This window comes from Homo sapiens, chromosome X, assembly GCF_000001405.40.
Source record: "Homo sapiens chromosome X, GRCh38.p14 Primary Assembly".
NCBI classification, from domain to species: domain Eukaryota; kingdom Metazoa; phylum Chordata; class Mammalia; order Primates; family Hominidae; genus Homo; species Homo sapiens.
The window spans coordinates 97934878-97949267 of NC_000023.11; the positions used below are offsets into that span (position 1 = coordinate 97934878).

Genomic DNA, 14390 nt, shown 5'->3' on the forward strand with positions numbered 1-14390 from the left:
ATCAATCTCTCTCTGCAATAACCAATGTTAACCAACCCCAGGGTGTTTTCTTCACCACCTTTCACTGGGCTCATGCAAGTACATCCAAGTAAGTTTTTTTCCAATTTATACAAAATATCAAAACTCAAGGTTACTAATGAAATATGACTCTTTCCAATGACTACCAACATTTCTTTGATTGGCAAAGTCCTTTGTACATACAGCCTATCCTCCCCTGAGCTCAATCTCAGCTCAGTCTCCTTTGCCATTTGTATGGTTCCCATTCCTTAAAAATGAAAAGAAGCCATTCATTTCCAAAGAAAGCATTCTCTTGGGGGCAATGAATAAACACAGCACTTCCTTTCTAGTAGCTATAAACTTTACTGTAGATATAAAATTTACTTACCACACTATAATATTTGAATGATTTTGGTACCCAAACATTTAGCCCTATTGTGGGATGTTCAGATCAGATTTAAAATTTTCTTTTGAAGTGTCTTAACAAAGAGGAAATAAAAACAAATTCAGGTGGAAAAAAAGTAGCTAACAGCAATCTCACTTGTAGAATGGTAGCTGGTCTTATTCTCAGAGTGCATCAACTTTGATCTCATTTGTAACTCTAAGTGTCAGTTAGAGCAACAAAATGGAGATTGTAAGAGGGTTAGATATTCCATATTAGGAACTGTTTTGAAAAGATATCCATCCATTACATTATTCAAAGATAGAGATTGTCTGGTAGCTGTGGTATGTACAGCCCTGACCCAATTTCTCAGTAAAAAATAATTAGCATATCAATGTTCCTTAAGGAAATAATGGTTTTCATGCTAGAGGAGCAGGTTCATTCTCTGCACACAATGTTGATCCTGAAATGTCACTCTCCAGATGCAGTTTATAACTGAATGAAGAGCTAGCTCAGCAAGAAGTCAAGACTTCTGTATAATATAATGATGAGACATTTTTTAACCTAATGGGACTCTGCATGACAAAAATTTTTAAGATGATAATAGTACTGGATAAATTATTACCTGCTAGTTCAACCCCCAGAAGGAAAGAATCCCTTTATATAATGTTGCCATAAGAGTTACCCGAAGATTTATAGGTTTTGCAGGAAGAGTTTAATATTTATCTATAAGAGTCTGAATTAGAGGCAGAGAATATGGAATAAAGCAGGAGATTACTTCAGTGACTGCAAATCCCCAGACTTCTGGAAGCCTAAAGGATAAAAGTGTCATTACTTTCTGAGAAGACCCCGAGATGAGTACAGTTTTAATTGGCAGAATTTTAAAGGAAATTAAAAGTGTGTATTATGAACCTTACAACAACCTCAGTGAAGACTGTCTTCAGAAACTGAGCACAATGATTCACAGAAATTGGGAATAATTATGCCAACAGTCTGCCAGTGGCACCTTCCTGCAGATTTATATCTAAAAAGAGAAGCATTTGATAGTCTTTTTAATAATATCATCTTATCCAAAATACACATACAGGAAGAGTTTGTGTAGCTTGGATGAAGTCATAGGTTAGACAGGTAGATCTCTAAATCAACAGAAAAGCAGCACCTCTCCTGAGGAAGTCTCCAGAGACATTTTGCATGCTAAGCCTGTTAAGAAGGAGGATTATCATTAGTGTCAATAGACACAGGAAACTTGGGCAACAGATGTGGGCAATCCATAAGAACTTTGGCTTCCAACAACTGTCTTAGTTATGCCCAGCTGTGCATCTGCCAATGCTAATCCATCATAACACAACCTGCTATTTACTTTCCTTGCGGTGATAGGGATTTAAGAGGATGATGAAAGAGAACCAAGACCTATGAAGTAATTTAGAACTTTCTTGAATTTAAACTCTCCCTTTTACTTCCTATCATATGGCATATTGAAAAGATAACATAACACCTAATTGCAGCTAGAGTAATTGCTGCCAAAATTAATAAAGGGAAACACAATAGTTTACTGAGTTTCTTGTTTATAGTATTTTATAATACCATACAGAATTATTTGATAGAAGTTAGACAAGAATATAATTTGTTAGGTAGTTATCCATCTTTAATGTTCCGGCTCTTTCACATAAGGATGATCTATCAGGTATTCTTCAAAAGCATAAACAGCTAAATATAAATAAAACATCATAAGCAGTACTCTAAAGGAAGTAAGATTTATGATAATCCTGCTCAACTGAAGAGAGAGAGAAAAATGAAGAGAGAGAGATAAATAAAGAGAGAGAGAGAGAGAGAGAAACCCTGTTCCTCTACCAACCCATACCATTATCATGTGCATATGTGTGTTTAAAGTCAGTGAGAATAAGGTTAACAGCTCTTTCAGATGCAAGACATGCCATTCCCAGTAAGACATTTTTTCTATTAGGTATCCCCCTCCCCACTGTACTGTTTATAGTTAGTAGTGTGTGATTCCTTGCTAAAATAGAAAAGAAGCTCAGAGCTCTATGCTAATAAGGTAAGGCTTCTAGGTTCTGTCCCATGCCTATAGAGTAGTTCATATCTTGAAGTCTACATGACACTTTGACAGTTGCTTTGATGTAGCCATTACCAAATAATGTGAAAAATAGAAATCCTTACCTCTTTCCTGAACCTTGCCCTATTCCTGAGTTTTATCCCAACCCAGATCTTCATTGTGAGAGATGTTGGTAAGGAACAGGGTGGAGCTGTGACATCTCAGTCATTGGGGCATATGGGCTCTTGCCATATTCAAGTTGGACCAAGAGCATTCCTTATGTTTGCAAAAGACTCTGCATTTTTCTCTATTTCTTTTATATGCAATTCAACATTAAAAAAAAAAACCCTACAATTGTTTTAAGCGATTCACTTGAAACCAGATGGATGGCCTCATGGATGTGAAGATATTTACCGTGTCTTCAGGAGAAAGAAAAAGAGGGCCAGGAGTACATCTGAGCTATAAAATCATCTGTAGATGCTAACTTCTTAAGCAAATGAAAAGGTTTTTGAGGACAGGGACAATAATCATTCATTAAGGCCCATTCCTACAGAAGGTGTTCAGTATTTGTTTAGGTTAAACCCTATGAAATTGCCATCTTTGTAGGTGAAAAATGACTTCATGTTGGCAATTTCATATGATTCAATCTAAGAGTTAAGATCCTATGCCATACCTCACTTTAGCATACTGGAAAAAACATGAGAGCTTTGAGCAGACAGGCCTAGATTGAAATCCCAGCTCTACCAACTATGTGACCTTGGGAAAGTATCAGTCTATCTGAGCCTTAGTTTCTTTATCTGTAAACTAGAGAGACTAATACCAATCACATAAGATGACTGTGCCAATTAAATTGAAAAACATGCAAAAATGACCTGCAATAGAGACAGAAAGTAGACCAGTGGCTGCCTAGGGCCTGGCAGTTTGGGGAAAAATGTGGAATGATTGCTAATGGATGCTTTTTAGGGTGATAAAATTTTTATAAAATTAGAGTGTGGTAATAGTTGTACAACTCTGTGAATATACTGAAAATCACCGCATAATACACTTTAAATGAGTGAATTGTATGGTATGGCAGTTATATCTCAATAAAGTTGTTTTTAAAAAGTCATAATAAGGGAGACACATAGAGAAAGTCAGAGAAAGAGCTCAAAGCTACTAAGAAAAAACATGCTTAGACTTGGCCTTTCACAAGGCTCATTTGTAGGCTTGAAAACAAACAAACAAACAAACAAACAAACCTCTGAGTACTTCTTGAATTAATCCAGTTTAGCATGAAACAGTCATCACAAAGCATGATTTCTAATTGGCTATTTCTGGTACTAGCCACAGGGGAAGAGGTTGTTTCTTTCTATTCTACATCTGGCAAAGATCTAGTTTTGATATAACAAATGTCATGAAGTTAAGATTTATTTTAAGATTTACTTCAGAGTTGAAAAAAAGCTACAATTGACAGACTGTTTGGCTGTTTCACATCTCAGGCCTCCCAGTGTTTGGTGCATAGTCATGTGAATAAGAAAGCTGTCTTCCCCAGCACTTTGTCATTGCAGTTGCACAAACTCAACATGAGTCTGGTTTTGAACAGCAGCACAGCTTGGACAATGTTCAATCACCACACAGAGTCTGGGCAATGTAAAAAGCAGACCAGGGAGGCCTAAAAAGAGGGCATAATAGTTACTTGCCCAGATGATCAAATCACATTTTCCTCTTCTAACTGTTAGACATTTACAGGGATACAATTCGGAGATGCCTTTGGGTCCTATTTAATCCCTATATAGAAACTAAGCATTTGCTAATAAAGGGCCAGATTCTTATGCAGGGAATTTTATACATAGGACTTTACTGGGCACAAATCTGGACAGAAAAGGATTCCAGTTTTGAATACTGCCCTATGATACATTTGTAAATAGTCCATCCTATTCTGGATGATTTTTTTTTTTTTACCCAAAAGTGTTATTCAGTGAATTGCTTCCCCTCTCCATCTGTGCAATTTCTGCATAAGATAAGAACAGTTATCAAGAATTACAGACCAGTGATTTCACCTTAATTTGCACATCACCCTCTGAAGATGCAATGTCTTGCTGTTTAAATGTGTGTTTGTTTCTTTTTAATCAACAGCATCTATAAGTCATACCCAGAATTAAATAACAACAATAAGGTGCTAGAATGCAGCCAGGCCACTAGCATTGAACCAACTCTTATCCCAACACTAGCAGGATATCTGAGGTAGATAAGAGCAGGGAAGGTGAGCTCCTGTAAAAGTTGTGAAATAGATGATTCCTTTCTGTCGTACTTTTCCAGCCCTTTTGTTTCCAGGTACCCAGTGACCTACTGCTGTCTTCTAGGTACTGAGATCCTAACACTGCTAAATACCATGAGAATCAGGCAGACCAATGCTCTGGATCTTTTTCTTCTTTGGTCTTTTCTTCATTACTTACTCATCCTATATATTCCACTCTTCAGTCATATTCTATTTTATGGTTAGTCTGATAAAATAATTCAAGGTGAGGAGTTAATGCTTTGAAAAAATTCTATGTTTTGCCCCTTTGAGGAAGCATTTGCATTTTAACAGTGGGCTTTAATGTCTTGAATTACAGTTAATCCAGTCAGGAAGAGATTTTAGTCCAGGATTTTTTTTATGCTCCTTAAATAATATCATATAGATTTAGGCTATCTTTTTGGTTTATATATAAGAACAAGATTTATATATACATACATATATATATACACACACATATATATATGAACAAGAATGATATGTGTGTATATATATATATATATATACACATATATATATACACACACATATATATATGAACAAGAATGATATGTATATATATATATATATATATATATATATATATAGCAACATGATGAAATAGATTCCACATGAAGAGGAGACTGCAATCAACAAGGATATACGATATGCTTCAAGGATCCAGTAAAAGTAAATTTTAAGTAATGAAGCTTGCCTGTGAACCACAGGTAAATACTAGCAGCAGACAGATGAACCAACAGTAGAAAAAGCAGATGGGGTAGGATTTAAAAAAATATTTTAGGAAACACAAAGGAATCTGTACATTTAAGTCGGCTCTATGAAAACCAGTTATAGCCACAAACCAATGGCTGTTATTCTGGAAGTGGGAAGAAGAACTTCAAGTGATTTGTCTTTTGAGTAACAGCCATTTTGAGTATAGCCAAACAATATCTGCAAGGCTTGTAATTTACACATGTACACAAATGTATAAAAGGACACATATCTTTACACTACAAAACTTCAGATGTATAAATTATACATTTAGGACTTTAAACAATTTGCCCTCTTGTCATTCTGTAAGTTATTTATGATAAAAGAGCACTTTTTCTCAATAAAATCATAAAAACAACTGAGACGAGGGTTTATTAAATTCAAGATTTACTTATTTCTATACAAATTAATGCAAAAATATAAGTGACTGCTGGCAATATTAAACATCCATGGAATAAATAATACTAGTTGTTAAATTACTTACAAAGAACCTCTTCTGCACACTTTTCAGAGAAGCATTTTGAGTAAAATTTGAAATATCTTGTTACTGTCCAGTAGACTAGCATAATCTCAGACACTGCTCTCTCTTTATGCTATTTTCTTCTGGGTTTTAATCACTTTTCTAATTCTTCCTTGACAAAGGTGATAAGGTATAATTTAGCTATGAGTGTCTATTCTACATACAGAATTCACACATTATGATCAAAACCAATCCATCTTATCTTTTGTTTTCAAAGTAGAAATGAGGGTAGAAGGTTCACAAATGCATGGAAAATCCAGTATATCTTAATTAATGTGAATGTTTCCTCCAAATCAAATACTGCAGAGAAAATCCTCAATTGTCAACATTGAACAATAGGGAAACTGGAGAATGGATTACCTTTTCTTCAATAGAATGGATCATGCTCTTCACAAATAAAAATAGTACAGAATTTAGGTCCAGAATTCACTGAAATTAAATAATCTCAATTTTAACTGCAACATACACTCATTAAGAACTGATTATAAGCAAGGATCTATGCTGGGAGAATATGGAAATTCAAAGATAAAAAAGCTAAACTCTGTTGTCAAAGACTTTACAATCTACTGGGAAGAAACATACATAAATTAGTAGGTGATAGAATAAAAGTTATATGATGTTCCTACCTATTCCTTATTTCAAAAGCATATATTTCTTTTACTTGAATGTCTTCTCAAGAGAAACATTAAATACTCTTAATTTGAGAATATTATTGGAAGAAAAATCTTGCATATGACTTTAGTTTTGTAGGATTTGCCTCCTGGTATTCTGTACCAACATTTCTTTTTTTCTTTTTTTTTGAGACGGAGTTTCACCCTTGTTTCCCAGGCTGGAGTGCAGTGGCGTGATCTCGGTTCACCGCAACCTCTGCCTCCCAGGTTCAAGTGATTCTCCTGCCTCAGCCTCCCCAGTAGCTGGGATTACAGGCATGTGCCACCATGCCCGGCTAATTTTCTATTTTTAGTAGAGACGGAGTTTCTCCATGTTGATCAGGCTCGTCTCAAACTCCCGACCTCAGGTGATCCTCCCACCTCGGCCTCCCAAAGTGCTGGTATTACAGTCATGAGCCACCGTGCTCGGCCTCTGTACCAACATTTCTATCTGCTTTTCCCATGAACTAGGTTCTCCTCAACTCTGTGTCAATCCATTCTACTCCAACTGTTCACTAAGGTTTAGAGAAATTCATAATGCTGAGAACTATCACTACTATCACATGTTATATATGTTTTTGTGGGAGAAAGTTTGTGTCAGAGTATAGATGCCCTTCAAATTTCCTTTCATTTGAAAATGTCGGGGCAGTGACAGATATAGAATGGCAGGAGTGTAACATGGGGGTAAATTCTATGACAAGAGTCAAATAAAGCCACAGGCAATTGCTCTGGTGTCGAAGGCCAAGAGAACAGTATTAAAATCAACATGGTCAAAGAAAAAAGAAGTCATACTTCTCTTAAAAAGAAGTATGCATTTTTTCTTCCTGGCTAAACAATAAAATTCCATAAGCATAAGCTACACTGCCTGTCTGTTCCTCTGACCAATTTGCAGAGTATGCTGTTGCATTGTAAGTTCTACTCAAATAGCTCATTAAAGTCACATGCTATTAGTAGTTTGGGTTTACTTAGCAGATATCTCATCAATCAGATCCTAGAAGTCTAGGGCAGCCTACATGAGTAGGTGTGATGCTAGTGCTACCAACAGGTTCAGGAATAGAAAATTCAGAAAAGATCAAGCAAAATCAATTAAGAAAATAAGCCTTTGGCTAGAGGGTTTGGCACATAAAGTTGGATTTAAAGTTAAAATAGGAACTTGAGTTACTGAGAAGCAGATGACACTCTATTTCATGTTAATCCAAGAATAAATTGTTGAACAAAGAAAGAATGGCAAAGACAAATGTTCTACTGTTGTCCCTTTGAATATTAGTTTGTTGGTTTTCCGGTTCTGGTAATGGTGGAAGAATTTTTCTTGGATTAACTCTCATTAAGGCAGCAATTATGAGATCCATGTTTATGCAGTTTTTATCCCGATATGGGTGCCAAGAACATGAAATGTGGGGCAGTTAGAAATCAAAAGGAAAGCTTGGCTTTAGGGGTCAAATAGTGGAATTCGAGGATGGCAATTCAGATAGAATTTAAGGGGAGAGACTCTGACAAAGAGGAAGCTACAGAAGGAGAGTCCTCAAATCTGCCTATAAACTGCTTTCAAATCTTGTATGATCTGAACCATGCATGTAGTGGGGGGTGGGCAGGAAAAGACCCCAAAAATCCCAGGAGAAAAGAGGGGATAGAAGACTGAAAATGCTGCAGTTATTTCAGTAGATATTCATGGCAGAAAAGACAGTTTGGAGTTTTAAGGTGGCTTGGTGAATATACGGGGCTTACCACTGAAACTCCAGAAGGATCATGTCTTAGAGGTAAAAGTTATGTTTCCATATTAAGGGATTCACCTTAGGACAATGGGAAAAACTGAAAGAGAGTCACACTAACAGAGCACAAAATCAAGCCTCCACAAGTTCAATTTGATCATCGAATTATTTATAACACACCTTCTTCAGAGGAACATAATGGAATCCAGGGTATCTACAATGAATTATCCAAAATATCTAGTATAAAAATCTAAAAAAAATTGATGATAGCTGTTGAGAAACAGGAAAATTTAATCTATAATAAAGAGATAAAGCAATTAGTGGAAAATGACTTTTAGATGACCCAGATCATGGAATTAGCAGATAAGCACTTTAAAGCAGCCATTATAAATATGTTCAAGGTCTTAGAGGAAGAAAATTGCCAAAATGATTGAACAGTTGTGGAATCTCAGTGAAGAAACAGAATCTATTAAAAAATGAACACTTTAGAATTTAAAGGTTAAATATTAGAAACGAAAACTCAATTTAGAGGCAAGATGACTACCTGGATGCAACTAGGAGGAACATCTACCACTGAGAGACCAGGACACTGGGAAGACTGGCACACTTCCAGCAGATCTTTGTAAGGAAGACATTGAGAGTGGATGGAGGGGTGACACAGGCACTGGGCTGAAGTGGGAGGAAGCTGGGAACCCTGCATGGGGCTACCATGCAATGGGACTCATTCCTGGCCTCCAGTGACTCTTGGGGAAGGGGTGAGGTAAGCAGGCAAGAAGGAGCCTGTCTTAATATGGACCTCTGGAATCCTGGCAGCAGGAGACCCCATGACCTGCATGGGCACCTGAGCTGGCAGGGAGAGTTGCTTAGAGAGGTAGTAGGGGCAGGATCCCAGCCTGTGTGGAGTCTAGAGTGTCTGGTGCAGAAACATCTTCAGGGGAGCATGACCCAGGCACGCTCATCCCCCAAGGCTTGCTATGCTCTCCTAGGAGATTCTAGCCTTAGGGGAACTGTCTAACCTGAACAGAGGAGGGCAATCTTGACCATGAGATGGGGCCAGTAGGACCTGAGCTCATTTCTGTCTGCTGGCCTCTCTTGGAGACCCAATCTGGCAGTGCCTGCTTGCAGTGCAGCTTTAGATGCCCAACCAGGGCAGGGGCCCACATCATAGCTCTTGCACTGGCTGAGTGTACCTGACCATTGAAAAGCTCTAGCAGAGTGGCCTCCACCAATGTGGACCAGCCCACTCACACCCTTCCCTGACTGCAGCCTCCCCTGTGCCACTTGGCCAACACACACTTGCCCACAGCCAAAGCCCCCATTGCTTTGCTGATGCACGTGTGTGAAGGTAGGCCTCACTTCCCCTTCCCTGCTGGTGCATGCATGTGTGTGCACCCTACCATGCCATTGCTGCCAGCACAAGCGCACCCACCCCCATGCTGCACGGACACCAGCAACCTTGCCCCCTGCCCCATACCACCACCACCAGCAGCATGAACATGTGCACAGAGGTCACCAGCCCTGCATTTGTGGGCACCCTGTGCTGACTCCTCTACCCCCACGATACCACCACTGCTTCAGACAACCCCCAAACAGAGGCTGGAAGCCCTGGGCCTCCCAGCGCTCCACACCACCCAATGTGCGTGCACCCTGCCACACTGCCACTGCTGCTAGCACATGCAAACAAGCACAGATCCTGCTGACACCACCTGATAAATTGCTTTGGCTGGTACCATCCTTCAAAGTGTTGTGGCCAGTGGTCTCAGAACACCTCAGCCCCTTCAGCACAGCAGGTTCTCACCTTGAGGGGCCAGAGAACAAAGCCAGGTACCCGATACCAGCTCCCTAGAATTAGAGCATGCAGTCCAGGAGTACTGAACTGAACCTTGGCTCCCCACAACCCCCCAAATCTACCATAAATGAAGCCCATCAGCTGAACTCAACTTATGCCACAATCAAACCCTCAGGACATCAAAGAAGATAAAAGCAACAAAACAAAACAAAACAAAACAAAACAAAACCTACCCCATTCAAAGGACAGGAACTTCAAAGACTGAAGGAAGATCAGCCCATACAGATAAGAACCAATGTAAGAACTGTGGAAACTCAAAAAGCCAGTGTCTTGTTACCTACAGATGACTGCACTAATTCCCCAGCAATGATTCTAAACCAGGCTGAAATGTCTAAAATGACAGAAATGGAATTCAGAATATGGATAGGAATGAAGGTCACTGACATTCAAGAGAAAGTTGAAACCCAATCCAAGGAATCCTTAGAATCTAAGGAATACAATATAATGATACAGGAGATGAAAAACAAAATGGTTATTTTAAGAAAGAACCAAACTGAGCTGATAGAGCTGAAAAACTCACTTCAAGAATTTCATAATAGAATTACAAGTATTAACAGAGGACTTGACCAAGCTGAGGAAAGAATCTCAGAGCTCAAAGACCTGTTGTCTAAAATAACTCACATAAAAATAAAGAAAAAACAGTAAAGAATGAACAAAATATCTGAGAAATATGGGATTTTGTAAAGAGACCAAATCTATGACACATTGGCATCCGAGAAAGACAGAGAGAAAAAGCAAGCAACTTGGAAAACATATTTTAGGATACCATCCATAAAAATTCCCCAACCTCACTCACAGAGAGGCCAATATTAAAATGCAGGAATTGCTGACAACCTCTGAGAAATAGTACATAAGAAGACCATCACCAAGACACATAGTCATCAGATTCTCCAAGGTCAAAGTGACAGACAAAATGTCAAAGGCAGCTAGAGAGAAGGGGCAGTTTTCCTACAAAGGGAACCTTACCAGGCTAACAGAGGACCTTTCAGCAGAAACCCTACAAGTCAGAAGACAATGGGACCTATATTCAGCGTTCTTAAAGAAAAGAATTTTCAACCAAGTATTTCATATCCACCCAAACTAAGCTTCATAAGCAAAGGAGAAATAAGATATTTCTCAGACAAGCAAATGCTAAGGGATTTCATTACCACCAGACTTGCCATACAAGAAGTCCTGAAGAGAGTACTAAACATGGAAAGAAAAGACTGTTACCAGTCACTACAAAAACACACTTAAGTACATAGACCAGTGACACTATAAAGCAACCACATATAAAAGTCTGCATAATAACCAGCTGACAACATGATGACAGGATCAGATCCACACATATCAATACTAACCTTGGATATAAACTCGCTAAACACCCCAATTAAAAGGCACAAAGTGGAAAGTTGGATAAAGAAGCAAGACCAAATACTATGCTGTCTTTAAGAGACCCATTTCACATGCAACGAAACACACAGGCTCAAATTAAAGAGATGGAGGAAAACCTACAAAGCAAATGGAAAACAGAAAAAAGCAGGGGTTGCTATTCTAATTTCAGACAAAACAGACTTTAAGAGAACAAAGATCAAAAAAGACAAAGAGGAACATTACATAATGATAAAGGGTTCAATTTGACAAGACCAAACTATCCTGAATATATACACACCCAACACAGGAGCACCCAAATTCATAAACCAAGTTCCTAGAGAGCTACAAAGAGACTTAGATAACCACACAATAATAGTGGGAGACTTCAACACTCCACTGATAATATTACACAAATCATCAAGGCAGAAATTAACAAAGATATTCAGGACCTGAACTTGACACATGACCAAATGGACCTAATAGACATTTACAGAATACTCCACCCAAACACATAAAAATATACATTCTTCTCATCTGCACATGGCACATACTCTAAAATTGACCATACAATTGGACATAAAACAATCATTGACAAATTTTTAAAAATCCTACAAACCATACTTTTGAACCACAGTGCAATAAAAGTAGTAATCAATACAAAGAAAAGAGCTCAAAACCATATAATTATATGGAAATTAAACAATACCAGCTGTGGGTCTGTCATAGATGGCTTTTATTATGTTGAAGTATGGTCCTTCTATATCCAATTTTTTTAAGGGTTTTTTAAATCATGAAGGGATGTTGAATTTTATCAGATGTTTTTTCAGCATCAATTGAAATAATCGTATGGTTTGTATCCTTCATCCTGTTGAAATGATTTATCACACTGATTGATTTGCATATGTGGGACCATCCTTGCATACCTGGAATAAAGCCCACTTGGTTATGATGAATGATGCATTGTTGAATTCAGTTTGCTACTATCTTGTTGGTGATTTTTGCATCAATATTCATTAGCAATATTAGCCTGTAGTTTTCTTTTTTTGATGTGTCTTTGTCTGGTTTTGGTATCAGGATAATACTGGCTTCGTAGAATGAGTTTGGAAGTATTCCTTTTCCTATATTTTTCAGAATAGTTTGAGTAGGATTGGTATTAGTTCTTCTTTAAATGTTTGGTAGAATTCAGCAGCTAATCCATTGGTTCCCAGGCTTTTCTTTACTGGCAGACTTTTTTTGTTTGTTTGTTTGTTTGTTTTTGAAAAACTCTATGGCAGACTTTTTATTATGGATTAAATCTCATTACTTGTCATTGATCTGTTCGGGTTTTGGATTTCTTTATGGTTCAATCTTGGTAGGTTGTATGTGTCTAGGAATGTATCCATTTCCTCTAAATTTTCCAATTTATTGCAGATAGTTTGGTCATAGTAGCCAATAATGACCCTTTGAATTTTTGTAGTATCAGTTGTAATGCCTCCTTTTTCATCTGTGATTTATTTATCTGGGCCTTCTCCCTTTTGTCTGGCTAACAGTTTGTCAATTTTGTTTTATTTTCAAAATTCTAACTTTTGTTTTGCTGATATTTTGTATTGTTTTCTTCACTTCAAATTTATTTATTTCTGCCCTGGTCTTTATTATTTCTTTACTTTGGGTTCATTTTGCTCTTGCTTTTCCAGTTTTTTAAGATACATCCTTAGGTTATTTATTTGAAGTTTTTCTTCTTTTTTAAATGTAGGTACTTATAGCTATAAATTTCCCTCTTAGTACTGCTTTTGCTGTATATCATAGGTTTCGGTATTTTGTGTTTCCATTATTATTTGTTTCAAGGAATTTTTCAGTTCCCTTCTTAATTTCTTTATTGACCCACTGGTCATGCAAGAGCATACTGCTTAATTTCCATGTATTTGTATAGTTTCCAAAATTCCTCTTGTTTTTGATTTCTAGGTATAACTAAAACACTATAGAAAAAATATAATAATCTGATAAAAAATGGACAAAAGATTTGAATAGACATTTCTCAAAAGAAAACATACAAATGGCAAATAGGCATGTGAAATGGTTCTCAACATCATAGATCATCAGAGAAATGAAAATCAAAACTACAATGAGATATCATCTCACCACAGTTAAAATGGCTTACATCCAAAAGACAAGCAATAACAAATGCTGGCAAGGATGTGGAGAAAAGGGAACCCTTGTACACTGTTGGTGGTAATGTAAATTAGTTCAATCACTATGGAGAATAGCTTGGAGGTGCTTCACAAAACTAAAGGTAGAGCCACCATATGATCCAGCTATTTCACTGCTGGATATATACCCCAAAGAAGAAAAATAAATATATGGAAGAGATATCTGTACTCCTATGTTTGTTGCAGCACTGTTCACAATATCCAAGATTTAGGACCAACCTAAGTATCCATCAACAGATTAATAGGTAAAGAAAATGTGGAACTTATACACAATGGGGTACTATTCAGCCATAAAAACGAAGGAGATCCTGTCATTTGCAACAACATGAATGGAACTGGAGATCATTATGTTAAGTGAAATAAGCCAGGCACAGAAATTCAAACATTGCATGCTATCGCTAATTTGTGGGGTCTAAAAATCAAAACATTTGAACACATGGAGATAGAGAGTAGGAGGGTTACCAGAGGCTGGGAAGGGTAGTGGGGGGTGGGGGCAGGGGAGGGGTGATGATGGTTAATAGGCACCAAAAAACAGTTTGAAAGAATGAATAATACCTAGTGTTTGATAGCACAACAGGGTGTCTACTATCAAGATAATTTAATCATACATTTAAAAATAACTAAAAGAGTATAACTGGATGGTTTGTATAACAAAAGATAAATGTTCGA

The 14390-nt window shown here is 37.4% G+C and overlaps 1 annotated feature.

The window, feature by feature from the left end:
- Positions 9247–9747: an enhancer, noted in NCBI's record as "H3K4me1 hESC enhancer chrX:97199122-97199622 (GRCh37/hg19 assembly coordinates)". NCBI's record gives its function as "activates a minimal SCP1, AML or CMV promoter by ChIP-STARR-seq in naive H9 embryonic stem cells {active_cell/tissue: H9 hESC(naive)}" and the evidence as "EXISTENCE:reporter gene assay evidence [ECO:0000049][PMID:30033119]".